This window comes from Homo sapiens, chromosome 14 (genome assembly GCF_000001405.40).
Source record: "Homo sapiens chromosome 14, GRCh38.p14 Primary Assembly".
Taxonomy (NCBI): domain Eukaryota; kingdom Metazoa; phylum Chordata; class Mammalia; order Primates; family Hominidae; genus Homo; species Homo sapiens.
Window position 1 is genome coordinate 22,239,758 of NC_000014.9, and position 25,532 is coordinate 22,265,289.

At 40.9% G+C, this 25,532-nt stretch overlaps 1 gene; it reads left to right on the plus strand.

Annotated features, from left to right (window-relative positions):
• Positions 1 to 25,532, plus strand: part of TRA (T cell receptor alpha locus) — a 930,229-nt gene that overhangs the window by 617,854 nt on the left and 286,843 nt on the right.

The following is a 25,532-nucleotide window of genomic DNA, read 5'->3' on the forward strand; positions in this document are numbered from 1 at the left end:
AGATGAAAGAGAATGATTCCCCACAGGCCAGCAGGCAGTTCCCAGTGTAGACCCTCATTAGGACACAGAATCAGAACTTGGAGATTGGTGCCACAGACATTTGCTAACTTGCGTGCTAGAAGGACTAAGGAAAACTAGGAAGAAGCCCATGAATTATTCAATGATGTCCCCTATAACACAGGGAAAGGAAGAAAATCCTACTGCCTTTCTGGAGAGACTAAGGGAAGGATTGAGGAAGCATACCTCCCTGTCACCTGACTCTATTAAAGGCCAACTAATCTTAAAGGATAAGTTTATCACTCAGTCAGCTGCAGACATTAAGAAAAAACTTCAAAAGTATGCCTTAGGCCCAGAGCAAAACTTAGAAACCCTACTGAACTTGGCAACCTCAGTTTTTTATAATAGAGATCAGGAAGAGCAGGGGAATGGGACAAATGGGATAAAAAAAAAAAAAAGGTGACTGCTTTAGTCGTGGCCCTCAGGCAAATGGACTTTGGAGGCTCCAGAAAAGGGAAAAGCTGAGCAAATTGAATGCCTAACAGGGCTTGCTTCTAGTGTGGTCTACAAGGACACTTTAAAAAAGATTGTCCAAGTAGAAACAAGCTGCCCCCTTGTCCATGCCCCTTATGTCAAGGGAATCACTGGAAGGCCAACTGCCCCAGGAGATGAAGGTCCTCTGAGTCAGAAGCCACTAACCAGATAATCCAGCAGCAGGACTGAGGATGCCCAGGGCAAGCGCCAGCCCATGCCATCACCCTCACAGAGCCCTGGGTATGCTTGACCATTGAGGGCCAGGAGGTTCACTGTCTCTTGGACACTGGTGTGGCCTTCTCAGTCTTACTCTCCTGTCCTGGACAACTGTCCTTCAGATCTGTCACTATCCGAGGGGTCCTAGGACAGCCAGTCACTAGATACTTCTCCCAGCCACTGAGTTGTGACTGGGGAACTTTACTCTTTTCACATGCTTTTCTAATTATGCGTGAAAGCCCCACTCCCTTGTTAGGGAGAGACATTCTAGCAAAAGCATGGGCCATTATACACCTGAACATAGCAGAAGGAACACCCATTTGTTGTCCCCTGCTTGAGAAAGGAATTAATCCTGAAGTCTAAGCAACAGAAGGACAATATAGACGAGCAAAGAATGCCCATCCTGTTCAAGTTAAACTAAAGGATTCCGCCTCCTTTCCCTACCAAAGGCAGTACCCCCTTAGACCCAAGGCCCAACAAGGACTCCAAAAAACTGTTAAGGACCTAAAAGCCCAAGGCCTAGTAAAACCATGCAGTAGCCCCTGCAGTACTCCAACTGTAGGAGTACAGAAACCCAACGGACAGTGGAGGTTAGTGCAAAATCTCAGGATTATCAATGAGACTGTTGTTCCTCTATACCCAGCTGAACCTAACCCTTATACTCTGCTTTCCCAAATACCAGAGGAAGCAGAGTGGTATATAGTCCTGGACCTTAAGGATGCCTTCTTCTGCATCCCTGTACATCCTGATTCCCAATTCCTGTTTGCCTTTGAAGATCCTTCAAACTCAACGTCTCAACTCACCTGGACTGTTTTACGCCAAGGGTTCAGGGATAGCCCCCATCTATTTGGCCAGGCATTAGCCCAAGATTTGAGCCAATTCTCATACCTGGACACTCTTGTCCTTTGGTATGTGGATGATTTACTTTTAGCCACCTGTTCAGAAACCTTGTGCCATCAAGCCACCCAAGTGCTCTTAAATTTCCTCACCACCTGTGGCTACAAGGTTTCCAAACCAAAGGCTCAGCTCTGCTCACAGCAGGTTAAATACTTAGGGCTAAAATTATCCAAAGGCTTGAGGGCCCTCAGTGAGGAACACATCCAGCCTATACTGGCTTATCCTCTTCCCAAAACCCTAAAGCAACTAAGAGGGTTCCTTGGCATAACAGGTTTCTACCGAATGTGGATTCCCAGGTACAGCAAAATAGGCAGATCATTATATACACTAATTAAAGAAACTCAGAAAGCCAATACCCATTTAGTAAGATGGACACCTGAAGCAGAAGCAGCTTTCCAGGCCCTAAAGAGGGCCCTAACCCAAGCCCCAGTGTTAAGCTTGCCAAGGGGCAAGACTTTTCTTTATATGTCACAGAAAAAACAGGAATAGCTCTAGGAGCCATCACACAAGTCTGAGGGACTAGCTTGCAACCCGTGGCATACCTGAGTAAAGAAATTGATGTAGTAGCAAAGGATTGGCTTCATTGTTTACAGGTAGTGGTGGCAGTAGCAGTCTTAGTGTCTGAAGTGGTTAAAATGATACAGGGAAGAGATCTTACTGTGTGGACATCTCATGATGTGAATGCCATACTCACTGCTAAAGGAGACTTGTGGCTGTCAGACAACCGTTTACTTAAATATCAGGCTCTATTACTTGAAGGGCCAGTGCTGCAACTGCGCACTTGTGTAACTCTTAACCCAGTCACATTTCTTCCAGACAATGAAGAAAAGATAGAACATAACTGCCAACAAGTAATTGCTCAAACCTATGCCGCTCGAGGGGACTTTTTAGAGGTTCCCTTGACTGATCCCCACCTCAACTTGTATACTGATGGAAGTTCCTTTGTAGAAAAAGGACTTCAAAAAGTGGGGTATGCAGTGGTCAGTGATAATGGAATACTTGAAAGTAATCCCCTCACTCCAGGAACTAGTGCTCAGCTGGCAGAACTAATAGCCCTCACTCGGGTACTAGAATCAGGAGAAGGAAAAAGGGTAAATATATATACAGACTCTAAGTGTGCTTACCTAGTCCTCCATGCCCATGCAGCAATATGGAGAGAAAGGGAATTCCTAACTTCCGAGGGAACACCTATCAAACATCAGGAAGCCATTAGGAAATTATTATTGGCTGTACAGAAACCTAAAGAGGTGGCAGTTTTACACTGCCGGGGTCATCAGAAAGGAAAGGAAAGGGAAATACAAGGGAGCCACCAAGTTGATATTGAAGTCAAAAGAGCCACAAGGCTGGACCCTCCATTAGAAATGCTTATAGGAGGACCCCTAGTATGGGGTAATCCCCTCCGGGAAGCCAAGCCCCAGTACTCAGCAGGAGAAATAGAATAGGGAACTTCATGAGGACATACTTCCCTCCCCTCCAGATGGCTAGCCACCAATAAAGGAAAAATACTTTTGCCTGCAGCTAACCAATAGAAATTACTTAAAACCCTTCATCAAACCTTCCACTTAGGCATTGATAGCACCCATGAGATGGCCAAATTATTATTTACTGGACCAGGCCTTTTCAAAACTATCAAGCAGATAGTCAGGGCCTGTAAAGTCTGCCAAAGAAATAATCCCCTGCACTGCAGGCCATACATTTCAATCCCTGTATCTTTAACCTCCTTCTTAAATTTGTCTCTTCCAGAATCAAAGCTGTAAAATTACAAATAGTTCTTCAAATGGAGCCACAGATGCAGTCCATGACTAAGATCCACCACAGACCCCTGGACCAGCCTGCTAGCCCACGCTCCAATGTTAATGACATCGAAGGCACCCCCTCCTGAGGAAATCTCAACTGCACAACCCCTACTACGCCCCAATTCAGCAGAAAGCAGTTAGAGTGGTCATCAGCCAACCTCCCCAACAGCACTTGGGTTTTCCTGTTGAGAGGCGGGACTGAGAGACAGGACTAGCTGGATTTCCTAGACTGACTAACAATCCCTAAGCCTAGCTGGGAAGGTGACTGCTTCCACCTTTAAACACGGGACTTGCAACTTAGCTCACACCTGACCAATCAGGTAGGAAAGAGAGCTCACTAAAATGCTAATTAGGCTAAAACAGGAGGTAAAGAAACAGCCAATCATCTATCACCTGAGAACACAATGGGAGGGACAATGATCAGGATATAAACCCAGGTATTCGAGCTGGCAACGGCTACCCTCTTTGGGTCCCCTCCCTTTGTATGGGAGCTCTGTTTTTACTCTATTTCACTCTATTAAATCTTGCAACTGCACTCTTCTGGTCCATGTTTGTTACGGCTGGAGCTGAGCTTTCGCTCACCATCCACCACTGCTGTTTGCTGCCGTCGCAGACCTGCCGCTGACTTCCATCCCTCCAGATCCGGCAGGGTGTCTGCTGTGCTCCTGATCCAGTGAGGCACCCGTTGCTACTCCCGATCGGGCTAAAGGCTTGCCATTGTTCCTGCATGGCTAAGTGCCTGGGTTCATCCTAATCGAGCTGAACAGTAGTCACTGGGTTCCACAGTTCTCTTCCATGACCCATGGCTTCTAATAGAGCTATAACACTCACCACATGGCCCAAGATTCCATTCCTTGGAATCCGTGAGGCCAAGAACCCCAGGTCAGAGAACACGAGGCTTACCACCATCTTGGAAGTGGCCCACCGCCATTTTGGAAGTGGCTTGCCACCATCTTAGGAGCTCTGGGAGCAAGGAACCCCTGGTAACAAAACCTGATGTTTGTTCTCTACTAAGGAATAAAACAGGCATACATGTGAGATAACTATAAAGAGTCAGGACATGATAGAGGTCTGCACACTATATCAGAAGCCCTGTTTCCAGCTCTGTGGCTGCAGCATCGCACAACTCCAGTGCTCTGCCTGAGGCTGGCTGTGCATGCAGAGCTGAGCCCTAGGTTTTGGCAGGACAAGACATGTTTTATTCAGGGAGATGAGAAGGCCTGTCAACATGTACTGCCCCACCTGCTGCGGCCAACTGTGGCCTCCATCTTCCCCAGTAGGCAGGGATGGACTGAGGGAGGAAAGACACCTGGGGCACATCTGAAAGATGCTTTGGGCCGGGGACAAAAAAGAAGTGATAGAAACCAGGCTGTGCTTTTTATTGCTGTCAGGACAATTTTCTTAAGACATGGGGGTTTCTTTTTTTTTTCTTTTTTTTTTTTTGAGACGGAGTCTCACACTGTCGCCCAGGCTGCAGTGCAGTGGCGTGATCTCAGCTAACTGCAAGCTCCACCTCCTGGGTTCACGCCATTCTCCTGGCTTAGCCTCCTGAGTAGCTGGGACTACAGGCGCCCACCACCATGCCCGGCTAATTTTTTGTATTTTTTAGTAGAGATGGGGTTTCACTGTGTTAGCCAGGATGGTCTCGATCTCCTGACCTCATGATCCGCCAACCTCAGCCTCCCAAAGTGCTGGGATTACAGGCATGAGCCACCGCGCCCGGACAGGACATGGGGGTTTCTAAACAAGGCTCTTCAGTATCAGCTCATTGTGAGTCACAGATCAGATCTGCCCAGTTCTCTTTTGCTGTTGACATTGTTGTTTCCTCTGCAGGATTCAGCAGTACTGAAAGGGTTATTCAGTCCCAACATGGGATCTTTACACAAGAAGGGGAGCTTGTGAAATGCAAGTACTTTGCAAATAGCTCAACTTATTTTCTTTCTTGTTTTGGGCAGCATTCCAGTGAGGAAATATTTCACCTGATTTCTCAGAGTTTAGGAGCATCCAGGAACGCAAGGAATAAAAAATGTTCTGTGAACCTGCAAATAGCTGCCAACACTGTCATTCTCACCATTTCAGTTATGAGACCAAAAGACTCAGGAAACAGTTTCTGTGCACTCAAGACATCTACAGTAAGAGGAACAATAAAAGTTGTAGTTAAAAAAAACAAAAAACAAAATACTCAGAGCTTGTACCCCAGACTCATCTGCCACAGGGACTGGGAGAGATCCACGGGCCCTAAACTGAAAAAATGTGAGCCTGTGGACAGCATTCATGAAGTATGGACAGGAAACAGGTAACTGTTGCAAGAAAAACCCTCTCAAACTGCATTCATTGAGCAGTGCTTTCAATCCACAGTCCTTAAATTGACTTTCTCCTTCAAATTTTAGCAGGTAACAAAACAGTACTTTATTTTAATCTAATTATTTTTCTTTTTTCTTTAACTTTTTATTTGATATATTTCAAAATATAAAATAATACTGCTTATTGTAATAGATGAAGTAATAAAAAGTTTTATAAAGAAAAAGTTAATTCTCACTCATCTGCTCCCTACTGAAGTAAATAATATTAATAACCTGATAAGTGTCCTTTCCCACTATTCTTTCTGCTTATATAAATATAGGCAAAAATCCCTCCTAGTGGAACAAATCTGCTTGGGGTTTTTTTTGTTTTGTTTTGGTTTGGTTTTCTGAGCCGGAGTCTCGCTCTGTTGCCCAGGCTGGAGCGCAGTGGCATGATCTCGGCTCACTGCAACCTCTGCCTCCTGGGTTCCCACCATTCTCCTGCCTCAGCCTCCCAAGTAGCTGGGACTACAGGTGCCCGTCACCACGCTCAGCTAATTTTTTGTAGTTTTAATAGAGACGGGGTTTCACCTTGTTAGCCAGGATGGTCTTGATCTCCTGACCTCGTGATCCGCCCGCCTTGGCCTCCCAAAGTGCTGGGATTACAGGCGTGAGCCACCACTCCCGGCCACAAATCTGTTAATAAATGTGTGACCAATTGGAATTTTTCCTCTGAATCGCCTTTTACATCTTTGTCCATTTTTCTTTTAGGTTATATATTTCTCACTTAAAAATGCATGCTAGAGATGTCAAAAATTTTTTTTATTTCTCCAGTCTATTGTTTGTCTTCTGATTTTGTTTATAGCACGTAGCATGGTATCCTTTGCCTCTAAATATACTCTAAACTGTATATAGTTAAATATGCCTGTCTTCTTTATATCTTCTGCATTTCTACCATACTTAAAAATAGTACAGGTTTATATAAATATTCCCAGATTCTTAGACAACAGTTTTATCATTTTGCTTTTTACAATAAAATCTTTCAACCATCTGGAAACTGTTTTTATATATGAAATCTATTTTCCACTATTGAAATGTCTTTGTCATATTTTATGTTTCTTAAACATAATCAAATTATATACATCCATATTAAGAACTTTACCAGTATCCAAACATTACAGAATAATGTAAGAATCACAGTGGAACTGGGTGCTGGTGAAAATAATCACTGAATTCTCCAGTGCCAGTTTGAAAGGAGAAATTATTAGCCATTCCACTGGGGTGAGAAAGGCCAATGAGTTTGACTGATGTTAACCAAAGAGAGATTAAAGGATGGACTAAAAGTATAAAGGGGTGACATCTTGGGGAAATGCAAGTCTTGTGCAGAGAGAGGAAGATGTTTAACTTATCCTACTCAACTCCTTTCCTATATGACCGGAGGTGCCTAGTCCAGCTTCCACCCACTCCACTAAGTTGAGGAATAGCTATCATCACATGTCTGGAAGATAATCAGCTTCTGAACTGGCAGAGCGTCTCTGGTTCTTGTGGCAAAGACATAAAATGTGGGAGAAAGTAGAGAAAAAGAAAGTGTGGTAGCCTGCATTCCCACCTTTTATTGAGGCAATTTTTCATGTACTAGTGGTTTTAATGAATCTGTATAGGTCTGAACCAACTTGAACCTGAACCTACCCTGCCTCCAAACAGCTGTCACTTAGGGGAAGGCTCTAGCACAGGAGGCTGTGGATTGACCCATGTGTGAACTGGAGGAGGAGGAGGAGGTTGAGCTTGAGAACGATCACCACTCCAGGAAATCACGCAGATGAAGGGCCCTGTAGCCCCCTGAAGAAAACACTAGCACACCGTTGTGAGAAAGCACACATTTGGATTTCTGCCACCAAGAGGGAATCCATGGCCAGGAAGAGATAAGAACCAACAGGAAGGAGAAGGAACCTCTCCATCAGAACCCTGAGAAATTCACATAAGGAAACAGCATCTGAGCAACCAAGAAGACAAGGCCCCTCAGCCCAGGAGAGGCTGAAAAGAGAGTCCTTTATTTCTCCCACCACTCTGCCCAACAGCTGAGGGTTGACATGGGGTGAAGTCTGAAAGAATAGCACATCTACCTGTCAGTGGAGCTCCCAGAGTCTTCCTGCTGGGTGTGGGTGGAGGGTAGAGCTTTGACTCTAAAATACTAATTAAGTTCAAAATGAATACACACATAGTTGGAACAAAACTGCTTTAGTAACTAAAAGAGAAAGGATAACCTGTTTCCCAGTGGAAAAGAGATGATTGATAAGTGAAAAAAAAATGAAAACAATTTCACACTCACATTTATCTCATGACTTGAAATGCTCTAGTCAGCACAGTAATATCTGGATCTCTTTGGGTATTTTCTATTAAATGTTCCGCTTATTGGCTTAATCCTTCACTTATATCATATTGTTTTGTTTAGAGTAGTTTAGAGTAAGTTTTTATGTCATAAAAAAACTGATCTTAATATTCCTTTTCAAGAATGCAGTTGAAAGTTCCTAGATATTTGTTCTCTCTTATGCATTTCATCTTGTTCAAACAAATGGCATTCTGACTGTAACTACTTTGGAAAGTTTAACATTTTAGGACATTATATTTTTCCACAAAAGAAAAATCCATCTATTTAGGTCTTATTTTAAAAGTAAATTTTGCATGTTTGTTTGTTTCTTACATACCTTCCACTTTCTTTTTTTTTGAGACAGGATCTTGCTCTGCAGCCTAGGCTGGAGTGCAGTGGTACAATCATGGCTCACTGCAGCACAGACCTCCCAGGCTCAAATGATCCTCCCACTTCAGCCTCTAAAGTAGCTGGGATTATAGGCATCCACCATGCCTGACTAATTTTGTTTTTTAGAGATGGCGTCTCACTGTGTTGCCCAGGCTGGTCTTGAACTCCTGGCCTCAAGCAATTCTCCTGCCTTGACCTTCCAAAGTGCAGGGATTACAGGTGTGAGCCACTGCACCTGGCCAGATTTCTGCTTTTCTTATTAAATCAATTGCTAAATATTGTATCATCTGTGTTGCATTATTACTGAAATTTTTCTTCATTTAGAGAAATTTATTCCATATAAGGAAAAATTACTAATTTTTAATATTTGCTTAATAGCCAACAATTTTTGTTACTTGTTGATTTTTAGCAGTACTATGACCAAAGTGGCACATGTACATGTTTATTTTTTAAATTCCTGAATAGTACAGAAAAGTCTGTATTACAAATCTGGTTTCTTATTTCTCTCCAACTTTCAATCCTTGTCCATAAATATTTACACTTTTAAGTCTGGATCTTCTAGCAGTGAGCTCCATATTTCTAAATAATATGTTTTAACTACTTCTTGCAACATACATTTTATTCTTTTATTTTATTTACTTATTTTTTTAGATGGAGTCTCACACTGTCACCCTGGCTGGAGTGCAATGGCATGATCTGGGCTCACTGCAATCTCTGCCTCCGGGGTTCAAGCGATTCTCCTGTCTCAGCCTCCCGAGTAGCTGGGATTATAGGCATGTGCCACCACATCCAGCTAATTTTTGTACTTTTAGTAGAGACGGGGTTTCTCCTCGATGGCCAGGTTTGTCTCGAACTCCTAGCCCCAACTGATCCACCCGCCTTGGCTGCCCAGAGTGTTGGGATTACAGGCATGAGCCAACGTGCCTGGCTGCAACATGAATTATAGGTGTTACCTGTTGACTTTCGTTTTGTTTTTTAAATAGACTTAATTTTTTAAAGCAATTTTAGGTTCACGGAAAAATTAAGCAGAAAGTAGAGAGTTTCCCATATACTTCCAGGCCTCACATATCCACAGGCTCCCATGCTATGGACATCTTCCACCAGAGTGATAACATTTGTTCCACTGATGAAGCTACATTGACGTATTATTATTACCCACAGTCCATAGATTACATTAGGGTTCTCTAGTGGTGTTGTACGTTACATGGGTCTGGACAAATATATAATGACGTGTAGCCGCCATTACAGTCTCATACAGGTTGTTTCACTGCCCCAAAATCCTCTGTGCTCTGCCCGTTCACTCCTCCCTCCCCCCAGCTCCTGACAACCACTGATCTTGTTACTGTTTCCATGGTGTTGACTATTCCAAAATGTCATATACTTAGAGTCATAACAGTATATAGCCTTTTTAGATTGGCGTCTTTCACTTAGCAATAGGCATTTCAGATTTTTCCATGTGTTTCATGGCTTGATACCTCATGTCTTTTGAGTGCTAAATAATATTCTGTTGTCTGGATGTACCACAGTTTATTTACCTATTGAAGGACATCTTGGCCACTTCCAAGTTTGGGCAATTATGAAGGAAGCTGCTATAAATTCATGCACATTTTGAACTCATTTGCTTAAATAAGAAAGAGCATAATTTCTGGATCATATGCAAAGAATATGTTTAGCTTTGTGAGAAACTGCCAGTTTTCTTCCAAAATGGCTGTACCATTTTGCATTCCCACCAGCAAGGAAGGAGAATTCCTGTTGCTCCACACCCTCACTGGCATTTGGTATCGTCCGTGTTTTGGATTTTTGCCATTCTATCTGGTGTGGAGAGGTCGCTCATTGTTGTAATTTGCAATTCCCTAGTGACATTTGCATGGAGGGTATCTTTTCATGTGCTTATTTGTCATTTATGTACATTTTTAATACGTTTCACTTTGGGGGTCATTTAGCCTTCACCTGGCAAAACAAACAAATGAAAATTTACACATAATTCTGTGAATTAATTTTTAAAAACTTCATAAACCTCACCTTTATCCACTTTTATTCTTACTTATATTTACCTAGTCAGACTTTTCAGAACTTTTTCCAAGTTGTCAGAACATATTTAAAATAATAAAATTAAAATAGGAGGAATTTTTGCCTGTCACCTTTGCTCTTCTCTCTTTTCCCTCATCCACTCCCACACCTTTTCTTCTTTAGTTTCCTTCCCCAACCATTCCAAACACTCATTATGCCCAAGCCTCTTTGGACACTTCGATCAAAATTTTCTCCTCTATATCATCCGGAGGAAATGCACCGTTTGCTCAGGGACACTTAGCTCACCTGCTTCCCACGTTTTCTCTCGGTCTCCACTTGTGTCTGGACTGAGTGTTGCTGACCACCACAGCATCAAAGAGCCTGTGAGACCACTGGATGCAGTCTGGGGGTCAGTGACCTCAGAGGAAATACCTTCAGTGTCCCACGGGCTCTGCAGGTCAGTGCACTCAGAGTGAGCTTCCTCACACTTTGCTGGGGAAAGTGTCCAGTAGCTTCAATAATCTCATGACCAAAAGACTGAAGAGAGGGGAGAAGACATCCGAGTTCACATTTTCAGGCAATAGTAGCTGACATTTCCTGAATGATCCTTGTGTGTCAGGCACCTTAGGTCCGTTCATGACTTACCACATGTTTCTGTATGACAGCACCATGGGGAAGCTTCTGTAATTAATTCCTATTGGATAGGTTGCTGCTGATGGAAGTGGGGTCTCCAAATCCTCTATCCCAGAGTCTGTGCTGTTCTGCAGACTGAATATGCTTTCTCCCCACCCCTTCCTCAGGCTTTGGCAAAGGAGACCTCTGAAAAATGGCACTTAGTATATTATTGACTTTTGTTTTTTAATTGGCTTTTGGACTAATGAGGTCAGTATAATGTGTGAAACCAAACTAGAAGGCAGTGCTGGTAAGTTTGTTGAGTCTCTGACAAATATTTGGATTCTGAGCAATTCAAACATCCAGGCAACTTTAAAAGGTCTTCTTCCTCTGAGACTCATAGTGACTTATACAAATAAAAATAAAAGATTAGTAATAATAGTAGTTCATCAAACACTGCATTTACTTATATTTTCTCAAATACTATTTTCTTTTTTTTGAGGCAGAGTCACTCTGTTGCCCAGGCTGGATTGCAGTGATGCAATCTTGACTCACTGCAACCTCTGCCTCTTGGGTTCAAGCGATTCTCCTGCCTCAATCTCCTGAGTAGCTGGGATTATAGGCATCTGCCACCAGGCCTGGCTAATTTTTGTATTTTTAGTAGAGACAGGGTTTCACCCTGTTGTCCAGGCTGGTCTTGAACTCCTGTGATCACCCACCTCGGCCTCCCAAAGTGCTCAAGTGATCACCCACCTCGGCCTCCCAAAGTGCTGGGATTTCAGGTGTGAGCCACCATGCCCAGCTTCGAATACTATTTTCTACCATACCATTTAAATGTCATTCAAATTTAATATTTTCCACAAATTTTGAAAGAAGGCAATCAGGCAAATTTCATCTCAGTCAAATAATCCCTAAAGTTACACATGCTGTGGCTGTACCTTTCTCAACTTTGTTTCCCTTCATCCAGTTAAGACTTGGTTGTGCAGAGTTAGGGGCTCCGCAGGTGATGACATGATCAAAGGCCCTGACCCTTGTCACAAGAGTACTCACTAAGAATAAAAGTGTTTGACATCCTCTCAGCAACTCTGATGTGTAATCCCACCAGCAATTAGTGTTTTTCTTTCTCCGCGTTGATTACAGATAGTTTGCTTTTCCCTGTATGACTGCAAAGGTGTGTATATTTGAATGTATGTCTGTATGTTGTTTGGGTTGCAGGGAAGGAAGGAGTAGAAAAAGGAATAAGAGGTGGCTGTGATTGGCTGGTCGCTCTGAATGCAAATAACTCTATGCTTTTCACCTTTAGTGAATATATAAATGTCTCAGGATAGGAGCGATAATAAATAATGCCAAAGATCTTCCTTAGTGGTCCTGTGGCTTCATTGAAGGCATACATTGAAATGTTTCTAGCCAGGTGCAGTGGCTTACACCTGTAATCCCAGCACTTTGGGAGGCCGAGGCAGGTGGATCACAAGGTCAGGAGTTCAAGACCAGCCTGGCCAAGATGGTGAAACCCCAACTCTACTAAAAATACAAAAAATTAGCCGGGCAAGGTGGCACGTGCCTGTAATCCCAGATACTCCAGAGGCTGAGACAGAGAATTGCTTAAACCTGGAGAGGCGGAGGTTGCAGTGAGCCGAGATCGTGCCACTGCACTCCAGCCTGGGTGACAGAGCGAGACTCCGTCTCAAAAAAAAAAAAAGAAAGAAAGAAAGAAAGAAATGTTTCTGAACAGGGGAAAAGCCAAATGCAATGGGCATTCCCGAAAGACTGAAGAAAGAATACGTGCAAGTTGATTCTTCTGGGGTTTCCAGGAAAGTTGGGAAAAGAAAATGAATCATTTAAAAAGTGGAGAGCTGATGCCTGGCCCTCTGTACTTGTTTCTCTCAGGGAAGAAAGGCAGCAGAAAGTAGAGCAGTGTCCCAGTCCACACGTGTCCAGGGAAGAGAGGCTTCTATTTTTAACTGCAGTTACACAAGACTGTTGGCTTTTATGTTTCAGACGCAGTGCTGTGAAAGACCATGTCCTTGTAGTTTTCATTATTTCAGAGGTAAAATGGAAAGCAGGAGTAAGAGCCCCAATCATTAAGAACACGGCTTAGCTCTCTGCAGATCACAGACTCAGCCACCAACTCCTGCCCTGTAACCATGGAGATGCCCCCACTTCAGTCTGTACACAACCCCACAAGAGGAACCACTTACTCGCTTCCTTTTCTAATCAGCATGAAATAATATTTTTCATAATTATTATCTGAGGCTTTTCTATTTCCTCCTCTCTATCTACTTTGACAACATAAAAATATATTAGGGCCTGGTCGTGGTGGCTCACACCTGCAATCCCATCACTTTAGGAGGCTGAGGTGGGAGGATCACTTGAGCCCAGGAGGTCGAGGCTGCAGTGAGTCATGATCATGCCAATGCACTCAGCCTGGGCAACAGAGTGAGACCCTGTCTCAAAAATATATATATATACACATATGTATTAGGCATTATGCTGTACACAAAGAGCTTATTATCTAATACACATGATAATATCTGTCACTAGATGTAAGCTTTATAGAGATACCAATTTTTTTATCCAATAACCACTAACCAAACAATGATCAAATAAATAAATGGCAGGTTATATGTATACCGATGTGTAAAGGCAAATTTATGGCCAATGGTTAAAATTTACTGAAAACAAATTTCAGCTCGCTATAAAAAAGAACTAGCAATCAGAGTTTTCCCAAAAAGAAACAGACAGCTTTAAGGCATAAAATATTCCTTTCTACAGGAAATATTCAAAGAAAAGTAGAATGCCCATTTCCAGTGATGTTGCAGAATTACAAAATGATATGATTTTGTGCAAAACTAAAACATGTAAGTTTTGTATGGGGGAAAATAGCATCGAAGAACAGAACAACCAAACAGCTTGTAAAATGCATCGTGAATAAAAAAAGCTACTTCCAGCTTAATGGAAATTGGATTTTGGATTTGTATTTGAAGCATGTGTAGGATTTAAAATGAGAGAGATGGTAAGAGAATACATGCCAGGCAGGATAATCTTATCAAGGGCAATGATCAAGAAATAACAGAGAGAAAGGTTTAGGAAATTAGAAGTTTCCAAATATGACTGAAAGAACCAATTTTTATTGGAAAATGCTGTGAGATAAGAGGGAATCTTGGCTTGAGACAATTGTTAGTGTAAGAGGACTGCACACAGCCCAGAACTGGGTTTCTTTCCAGACAAAGAGAAAATGGTATGAGATTATCCATCCTTACCATAAACAACATTAAGGAATATCTTGAAATTGTTTTTCAGAAAGAGCTAATATTAACCTAAATTTAAACTGTTAAATAACATCAAAGATTTACTTTACAAGCACATTTCTAAATGTACTGAAAAACTATATTTCCATAATAATTGATTCAATGGACAGATAAATTTCCTTTTCCCTGAGTAGTTCTATCATCAACTAATAGCCCTTATTGCAGGAAACGAAAAATCTAAACACTTTTCCGAAAGTGTCGCGATTCCCCGATCACTTTCCAGCGTGAATTTTCTTAGGGGTGAGGATGGGAACACTAATAGTTTCTCTGCACTCAGGAACCTCATAAAGGACAAACTTTCAAATCAAATAATACAGACCAAATAAATAAAACAGAGCTACATCTTGCTTTGCTTTACACTTCGTTCTCTTCCTTGTCTGTCTGCAAAAACCTTTGCATGATTTTCATTGAAAATAACTCCTGAATTGATGCGAGATTTTACTTACCCTGGGACCTACCCAGGCCTGGTTTAGATATGTTCCCATAGTCTTCCCTGCTCTTCCGGGTACTGAGTTACCATAAGGATAAACCAGGCAGACAGTTCTTAGACATTAGGGCTAATTTCTAATTTACCCCCCTGTGTCTTTCTTTTATCATCACAAACATGTTTGGTGTCTAATTTGGTTTACTCTTAGGAAAGGATGGTTTGGAGTACATAAAACAGAATGGTTCCTCAGGCAGCAATATGCTACAGTTTTAGAGATCTTGTAGCTCTATTTTTCTATTAATTGATGCAGGTTTTGAGAATCAACAAGCACATTAAAAATAGACATCAACACTATAGTAAAATTAAAACAGTTATTCTGTCTTTTGTTGTTGTTTCCACATTATTCAGAAAGAGAAAAGTACTCTTTAAAATTAGAAATGGAGAACAACAAGGAAGAGAAATCTATTTTGTTGAAAAACAGCTTTTGGTAATATTATTCAGTGAAAGATGAAGTGACAGACGTGGAAACTTCTAGTCAAAGTTTGCAGCTTTTATTTGCATTGAATATCTATCCAAGATGAATCATCCTAGAAAAGCAGCCAGTGGACTTGGAATAATCTCGCTCACCATGGTTTCTGCCAAGGAAGGATTTTCTTGGCGCAGAATGTTGGGTATTTATTTGGGGTCTTGAATGGGTGAAAGAGACAAAGAACAATTTACGAGAAAGAAAGGAGAAGAAGGAATGGATCCATGGACAGAAAAGATTTGTCCTCAAGGGTACATCCAAGATTTGCTTTAATCTGTCATATAATGGAAATTTGAAACAGTTATTAGCACAGGTTCACAGCTTCTCAAAACTAAAAACCATTGTGGAAAAGAGGCTAAGCACAAAGATGTAAGCACTAAATGAGTATAACTGCTTTGCAGACAGTTTCATGTCAGTGGACATGTGCCATTTTTCTTCTTTTTTTTTTTTTTTCTGCCCAGTGCAGCTGCCACATATTATTCAATGCACAACTTTACAGGGCATCATTCACATCTTAGTAAGACATGGAGAAAGACAATGCTGAGATAAAGAAAAGCAGATTTCCGAGAGCATCATCAGAGCCTACAAATTCAGCTCTGCCTGGAGCTGCAAAAGTCAAAATATTCTTTTTGGGGATCAAGCCAGCATGAATTGAGATTCTGTCATTTACAGCCAATGGATTCATAATTCTCATAGCCAAAAGGGAGAGGGATACTTTTGGTTCTCTGTTATTTTATGAGCTGAATTTATGGTCCACAGAAGCATTTTCTACTCAAAATAACTAGAGTTATGTAAAGACAAATAATCATTGGTCTACTCTCATTATGGGAAATAAGAGCCATAATAACCCTATGTGTGTTTTATGAATTTCAAATGGGAAAAATTTTGAAAACTACTAAAAATTCATAACTCTACATTATAAACATAAGAACTCTTACTTTTTCTATTTTTACTTTTTAATTTCCACTTTTGTTACTATTTTTACTTATTTTCCTTGTTTACATTTTTGCACATGAGGAAATCATATTGTAAGAATAATTTTATGAAATTTTATTCTCATTTTTAGAATTAAAAATGCCTTGGATTTATAGTTTGAATTGGCTACTATTTCACACCGTAGATATACAATACTTTATAATTTTCCTGATTGGGGATATTTTTATTATTTATTTCCAATTTTTATTATTTTAAATAGCATTGTGGTAAACATCTTTAAATATACATTTTATTTTATTTATATATATATTTTTATTATACTTTAAGTTCTAGGGTACATGTGCACACGTGCAGGTTTGTTACATATGTGTACATGTGCCATGTTGTTGTGATGCACCCATTAACTCATCATTTACATTAGGTATATCTCCTAATGCTATCCCTCCCCCCTCCCCCCACCCCACAACAGGCCGTGGTGTGTGAACTTCCCCTTCCTGTGTCCAAGTGTTCTCATTGTTCAATTCCCACCTATGAGTGAGAACATGCGGTCTTTGGGTTTTTTGTCCTTGTGATAGTTTGCTGAGAATGATGGTTTCCAGCTTCATCCATGCTACAAAGGACATGAACTCATCATTTTTTATGGCTGCATAGTATTCCATGGTGTATATGTGCCACATTTTCTTAATCCAGTCTATCATTGACGGACATTTGGGTTGGTTCCAAGTCTTTGCTATTGTGAATAGTGCCACAATAAACATACGTGTGCATGTGTCTTTATAGCAGCATGATTTATAATCCTTTGGGTACCTACCCAGTAATAGGATGGCTGGGTCAAATGGTGTTGCTAGTTCTAGATCCCTGAGGAGTTGCCACACTGTCTTCCACAATGGTTGAACTAGTTTACAGTCCCACCAACAGTGTAAAAGTGTTCCTATTTCTCCACATCCTCTCCAGCATCTATTGTTTCCTGACTTTTTAATGATCGCCATTCTAACTGGTGTGAGATGGCATCTCATTGTGGTTTTCATTTGCATTTCTCTGATGGCCAGTGATGATTAGCATTTAATTTTCATGTGTCTGTTGGCTGCATGAATGTCTTCTTTTGAGAAGTGTCTGTTCATATCCTTCGCCCACTTTTTGATGGGGTTCTTTGTTTTTTTCTTGTAAATTTGTTTGAGTTCTTTGTAGATTCTGGATATTAGCCCTTTGTCAGATGAGTAGATTGCAAAAATTTTCTCCAATTCTGTAGGTTGCCTGTTCACTCTGATGGTAGTTTCTTTTGCTGTGCAGAAGCTCTTGAGTTTAATTAGATCCCATTTGTCAATTTTGGCTTTTGTTGTCATTGCTTTTGGTGTTTTAGACATGAAGTCCTTGCTCATGCCTATGTCCTGAATAGTATTGCCTAGGTTTTCTTCTAGGGTTTTTATGATTTTAGGTCTAACATTTAAGTCTTTAATCCATCTTGAATTAATTTTTGTATAAGGTGTAAGGAAGGGATCCAGTTTCAGCTTTCTACATATGGCTAGCCAGTTTTCCCAGCACCATTTATTAAATAGGGAATCATTTCCCCATTGCTTGTTTTTGTCAGGTTTGTCAAAGATCAGATGGTTGTAGATGTGTGGTATTATTTCTGAGGGCTCTGTTCTGTTCAATTGGTCTATATCTCTGTTTTGGTACCAGTACCATGCTGTTTTGGTTACTGTAGCCTTGTAGTATAGTTTGAATACAGGTAGAATGATGCCTCCAGCTTTGTTCTTTTGGTTTAGGATTGACTTGGCAATGTGGGCTCTTTTTTGGTTCCATATGAACTTTAAAGTAGAGTTTTCCAATTCTGTGAAGAAAGTCATTGGTAGCTTGATGGAGATGGCATTAAATCTATAAATTACCTTGGGCAGTATGGCCATTTTCATGATATTGATTATTCCTATCCATGAGCATGGAATGTTCTTCCATTTGTTTGTATCCTCTTTTATTTCCTTGAGCAGTGGTTTGTAGTTCTCCTTGCAGAGGTCCTTCACATCCCTTATAAGTTGGATTCCTAGGTATTTTATTCTCTTTGAAGCAATTGTGAATGGGAGTTCACTCATGATTTGGTTCTCTGTTTGTCTGTTATTGGTGTATAGGAATGCTTGTGATTTTTGCACATTGATTTTGTATCCTGAGACTTTGCTGAAGTTGCTTATGAGCTTAAGGAGATTTTGGGCTGAGACAATGGGGTTTTCTAGATATACAATCATGTCATCTGCAAACAGGGACAATTTGACTTTCCCTTTTCCTAATTGAATACCCTTTATTTCTTTCTCCTGCCTGATTGTCCTGGCCAGAACTTCCAACACTATGTTGAATAGGAATGGTGAGAGAGGGCATCCCTGTCTTGTGCCAGTTTTCAAAGGGAATGCTTCCAGTTTTTGCCCATTCAGTATGATATTGGCTGTGGGTTTGTCATAGATAGCTCTTATTATTTTGAGATATGTCCCATTGATACCTAATTTATTGAGAGTTTTTAGCATGAAGGGTTGTTGAATTTTGTCAAAGGCCTTTTCGGCATCTATTGAGGTAGTCATTGGTTTTTGTCTTTGGTTCTGTTTATATGTTGGATTATGTTTAATGATTTGCGTATATTGAACCAGCCTTGCATCCCAGGGATGAAGCCCACTTGATCATGGTGCATAAGCTTTCGGATGTGCTGCTGGATTCGGTTTGCCAGTATTTTATTGAGGATTTTTGCATTGATGTTCATCAGGGATATTGGACTAAGATTCTCTTTTTTTTGTTGTGTCTCTGCCAGGCTTTGGTATCAGGATGATGCTGGCCTCATAAAATGAGTTAGTGAGGATTCCCTCTTTTTCTATTTATTGGAATAGCTTCAGAAGGAATGGTACAAGTTCCTCCTTGTACCTCTGGTAGAATTCGGCTGTGAATCATCTCGTCCTGGACTTTTTTCGGTTGGTAAGCTATTAATTATTGCCTCAATTTCGGAGCCTGTTATTGGTCTATTCAGGGATTCAACTTCTTCCTGGTTTAGTCTTGGGAGGGTGTATGTGTCGAGGAATTTAACCATTTCTTCTAGATTTTCTAGTTTATTTGCGTAGAGGTGTTTATAATATTCTCTGATGGTAGTTTGTATTTCTGTGGGATCGGTGGTGAGATCCCCTTTATCATTTTTTATTGCGTCTATTTGATTCTTCTCTCTTTTCTTCTTTATTAGTCTTGCTAGTGGTCTATCCATTTTGTTGATCTTTTCAAAAAACCAGCTCCTGGATTCGTTCATTTTTTGAAGGGTTTTTTGTGTCTCTATCTCCTTCAGTTCTGCTCTGATCTTAGTTACTTCTTGCCTTCTGCTAGCTTTTGAATGTGTTTTCCCTTGCTTCTCTAGTTCTTTTAATTGTGATGTCAGGGTGTCAATTTTAAATCTTTCCTGCTTTCTCTTGTGGGCATTTAGTGCTATAAATTTCCCTCTACACACTGCTTTAAATGTGTCCCAGAGATTCTGGTATGTTGTGTCTTTGTTCTCGTTGGTTTCAAAGAACATCTTTATTTCTGCCTTCATTTCATTATGTACCCAGTAGTCATTCAGGAGCAGGTTGTTCAGTTTCCATGTAGCTGAGCAGTTTGGAATGAGTTTCTTAATCCTGAGTTCTAGTTTGATTGCTCTGTGGCCTAAGAGAAAGTTTGTTATAATTTCTGTTCTTTTACATTTGCTGAGGAGTGCTTTACTTCCAACTATGTGGTCAATTTTGGAATAAGTGCAATGTGTTGCTGAGAAGAATGTATATTCTGTTGATTTGGGGTGGAGAGTTCTGTAGATATCAATTAGGTCTGCTTGGTGCAGAGCTGAATTCAGTTCCTGGATATCATTGTTAACTTTCTGTCTCATTGATCTGTCTATTGTTGACAGTGGGGTGTTAAAGTCTCCCATTATTATTGTGTGGGAGTCTAAGTCTCTTTGTAGGTCTCTAAGGACTTGCTTTATGAATCTGGGTGCTCCTGTATTGGGTGCATATATATTTAGGATAGGAGAATTGATCCCTTTACCATTATGTAATGGCCATCTTTGTCTCTTTTGATCTTTGTTGGTTTAAAGTCTGTTTTATCGGAGACTAGGATTGCAACCCCTGCCTTTTTTTGTTTTCCATTTACTTGGTAGATCTTCCTCCATCCCTTTATTTTGAGCCTATGTGTGTCTCTGCACGTGACATGGGTTTCCTGAATACAGCATACTGATGGGTCTTGTCTCTTTGTCCAATTTGGCAGTCTATGTCTTTTAATTGGAGCATTTAGCCCATTTACATTTAAGGTTAATATTGTTATGTGTGAATTTGATCCTGTCATTATGATGTTAGCTGGTTATTTTGCTCGTTAGTTGATGCAGTTTCTTCCTAGCATCAATGGTCTTTACAATTTGGCATGTTTTTGCCACGGCTGGTGCTGGTTGTTCCTTTCCCTGTTTAGTGCTTCCTTCAGGAGCTCTTTTAGGGCAGGCCTGGTGGTGACAAAATCTTTCAGCATTTGCTTGTCTGTAAAGGATTTTATTTCTCCTTCACTTATGAAGCTTAGTTTGGCTGAATATGAAATTCTGGGTTGAAAATTCTTTTCTTTAAGAATGTTGAATATTGGCCCCCACTCTCTTCTGGCTTGTAGAGTTTCTGCCGAGAGATCCACTGTTAGTCTGATGGGCTTCCCTCTGTGGGTAACCCGACCTTTTTCTCTGGCTGCCCTTAACATTTTTTCCTTCATTTCAACTTTGGTGAATCTGACAGTTATGTGTCTTGTCCACTCCAGACCCTGTTTGCCTGGGTATCAGCAGCAGAGGCTGCAGAACAGTGAATATTGCTGAACAGCAAATGTTGCTGCCTGATCATTCCTCTGGAAGTTTCATCTCAGAGGGATACCTGGCCGTGTGAGGTGTCAGTCTGCCCCTACTGGGGTTTGCCTCCCAGTTAGGCTACTTGGGGTCAGGGACCCACTTGAGGAGGCAGTCTGTCCATTCTCAGATCTCAAACTCTGTGCTGGGAGAACCACTATTCTCTTCAAAGCTGTCAGACAGGGACATTTAAGTCTGCAGAGGTTTCTGCTGCCTTTTGTTCAGCTAGGCCCTGCCTCCCAAGGTGGAGTCTACAGAGGCAGGCAGGCCTCCTTGACCTTCGGTGGGCTCCACCCAGTTCGAGCTTCCCGGCTACTTTGTTTACCTACTCAAGCCTCAGCAATGGTGGGTGCCCTTCCCCCAGCCTCGCTGCCGCCTTGCAGTTCCATCTCAGACTGCTGTGCTGGCAATGAGCGAGGCTCCGTGGGTGTGGGTCCCTCCAAGCCAGGCACAGGATATAACCTCCTGGTATGCCCTTTGCTAAGACCATTGGAAAAGTGCAGTATTAGGGTGGAAGTGTCCCGATTTTCCAGGTGCCATCTGACACAGCTTTGCTTGGCTAGGAAAGGGAATTTGCTGACCTCTTGCACTTCCCGGATGAGGCGATGCCTCGCCCTGCTTCACCTCATGCTCAGTGCGCTGCACCTACTGTCCTGCACCCACTGTCCAACAAGCCCCAGTGAGATGAACCCAGTACCTCAGCTGGAAATGCAGAAATCACCCATCTTCCGCGTCGCTCATGCTGGGATCTGTAGACTGGAGCTGTTCCTATTTGGCCATCTTGGATCCACCCCTAAATATACATTTTAATTTAACTTTTTATCGTTTCATTAAGACAGCATCCTCGAACTGGAATTAGTGGTTCAATGGGCAAAACAGCTTTATAGCCTGTTGGTTCCTTGTCTGTCTTAATAGCATAACACCTTTTAAAAGCTTTCTAAATTCCTTATCTCTACTCCCTAACCCCTTTCTTACTCAAAACCCAGTCCAGGCAGATTTTTATCCCTATCCTTGTATCAGAATCACTTTGTTAAGGTCACAATGGGTTTCATAGCCTCAAATCCAATGATCCATTACCATGTTTTATCTTACTGAATTTCTCAGAATAATTTGACAATTTGGTTATTCTCTCCTTGAAACATTATCTTTGCTTGAGTTTGGGGATTCCACACTTTCCTGGTTTGCTTTCAACCTCACAAGCCACTCCTTTTCTAGCTCACCTTCCTCTTGCTGACCTCTAGATACTGTGTTGTCTCAGGACTCAGTCCTCAAACATATATGCCGTCTACATGCACTCTCTAAGTGATTTCATCCAGGAATATGGCTTTAATTACCATCCATACATTGATGACTCCCAGGTTTATACCTCCATCCAACCCCTCTCTGTTGAAAGCCAGGCTCATATATACTATAATCTATATAACATCTTTGCCAGATGTCTGTCTGGCATCTAAAATCTAAGATATCCACAACATACCTTATTCCCTCCCTTACGCTCATCCCTCACTCTTCCCCATCTCAAGAAAACAGTGATATAATTCACCCACTCGCTATAGCCAAAAATACTGGAATCTTCTTTAATTCTTCTCTTTCCCCCATACCCCACATTGTCAACAAACTGGCCACATAAGATGTGTTTTCTGTCAGAAAAAAAAGCCTGACTTCATTTTTTAATTCAAATAAGAATGTTACATGATGGGTTCCAATGACAACCCAGTCATTTCATAATTCTAATTCTAAAGTAGGTAGATGAATATGGTAAGGAACCTTGCATTGAGGCTGTCGCCAGTTGAAATATATTCCTGTTTTGCAATATTTCTTGCTTAGCTTTTAAGGGCTCTCCCGCAGATTCCAGAAGCTAATAAATTGTCTCTTTATTTGGCAGCTTGGGAATTTTTTTTTTAGCACCCTGGACCAATGCACCATTCCGGATGGTTGAGATATATACTTTTTCTTTAAGGGGTAGGAGGTAAGGGTGATGTTGGAAAGAGAAATGGGAAAGAAGCAGCAGCTTAACATTTGGACCCTGAAGCATGTTCTAGAGCAGGCTGGTTTTAAGAAAGTCCTCATTTGCCTCAAGGTACGTGACCCCAGTTTAATGACTATAGGCCTAAATGGGACAGGATCACAATCACATTTGTCACCAGCAGACTCATATCTAGGAGGCATACAAGTTATTCCTGTTAGAACAGTGACTTACTGGAAAGTCATTTCCCACCACTGATTTGAGTCGCTGTTATTATCGTACATGAATTTCCATATACAATTAGGCCATATTACAGATTTGCTATTCCATTTAACTAACCTGTCTGCCTACCCTTAATTTTCACTTAAGAATTTTCTTTCTCTTTCTTTTCACTTCTGTGCAATAGAAAATATACTCTTTTCTTCTACATTTTCTTCTGTTTTTTTTTGTTTTGGCATAAGAATGACAGGAATTTTTTAAATGTTTAATTGTAGCCAATCCTTTGCTAGTGGTCTTTGTCCTCTTTTAGGTTTTCTGATGTACAGTCATTTTATCTACTTACATGCAGATGATGTTTTATCTCTTCCTTTCCAATTCTTATGCTTCTTATTGTTTCTCTGGGCTGACTGCATTAGCAAGTAGCTTCAACACAATCTTAGATAGCAGTAGTGGTAATGAACATCTTTTTCCTTCACCTACTTTAATAGGAAAGCCTCTAGCACTTTCCCATAAGTTGGTGCTGGTTTGGGATTACGGTGTATGCAAGTTTTATGTGATATGTTAAAGAATTAGTTATTAGTTTTTATTTTTCAATGTTTTAACATGAATCTGTGTTGTATTTTGTCAAATTCCTTTTCTCCATCAATAAAGATAATCATATGATTTTTTTTCTTGGCTCTTGTATCAGTTATTAAGCTACTAACTCTTACCTACAATTGCTTAGCTCCTATACCTCGCTTCTAGAGTAGTAACTGCTGATGTCAATCATACACTGGCCCCTAGAGCTAGTTGACTTTTTAGGTGTGTTTTTCTTCTCTCTCCAACTGGATAATTAGCATATTCTATTTTGTACATTTTATTAAATGTCTCCACAGGGTTAAGTGAATTTGTTGAGGTAGTGACACTCAACATTTATTGTTTACCTGCCACAACCCCTGTCCATCATTGCTCAGTAAAATCGTTAATCATCTATAGCTAGACATATACCTGCTAGTACCTACCTAGAATGTTGAAATCACATACCTGAGATAAGAGAGAAGAAAAATTCCAAGGAGAACTCTCATGTAAATGCTACTTCCTCCAAGCATCTAAAACAGCTCCTCTATTCTTTCTAGGAAAAAAAATCCCTTCTTTGAGGACATTCCTGGTAAGTATCCTCATAAATAGAAAAAAAATTTTACAAAGAGAACTAAAGTTTTGCTAGCATTTCTGTGGTTTCAGACTTAATGTGATGTGGGGATGCTCTGATTGGGAAAAAGAAAGATCATAAGGTTTCTAGGGAAGTGTACCAGTTTACAAATAGCCAGATTCTCCAGTGACCACCTCATGTGTCTATTGTTTTTTTCTCAAGCAGAAATGTGAAAACAGGAGAAGGTAGAGTCCAGTCTTACCCAAACCCTGCATGTCCAGGAGAAAGCTAACTCTAGTCTAAGCTACAAAAAACGAAAAAAAAAAAAATTCTCCTTGTTTTACATAATTTCATACACAAAAAAGAATGGAAGAGTAATATCCACAATTAACATCAAAGATCCTCTTATTCTTCATAGACTCAGTGTAGAGGCTCAGACACTTATGTCATGACCACAGAAAGAAATGAAGGAAGAAAAGAATGAGGATAGATTTGCTAGGGCCAGGGCTTTACCCAAGAAATATAGCTGAGAAAATGTGGGAGGGTAATAGGTAGGCACCTATGCTCCACAGGATGAGACCTGGATGCAAAGAACAGATGAGAGCTTTCTTCCCTATCCTCTCCTCATCTTGAGTCCCTAGTCATTGCTGCAAGTACAGGAAACCATAAAACAGAGTTTCAGAAAACTAATATGTAAAACATGAGAAATTACCAGTGTGCACAGGTGCCCAGAGCTAAATATAAAGCACTTGGATATTTGCAAAAGCACTAGCATGCTCAGAGTTAGCCAGTTACTAGACTGCTTTCTCACACCTGAAAACATCCTAAAAGAAAGGATACTACATTTTCCTCCTTTGTCTTTTTAACGAGAATTTGGAAAAGGTCTAACTCTTTTAACTTATTTAAAGCTGCTGAGATTGAGACATATAATACAGCTCTGGTAGAAAAATAATCAATTAAGGGAAATAATCAGATCTTCTCTCAACCTATTCCTACCCCCCTCAGAATGTACTACAGTGCCATAGAGGCAAAAAGCCTGCATAATTCTTTAAAGG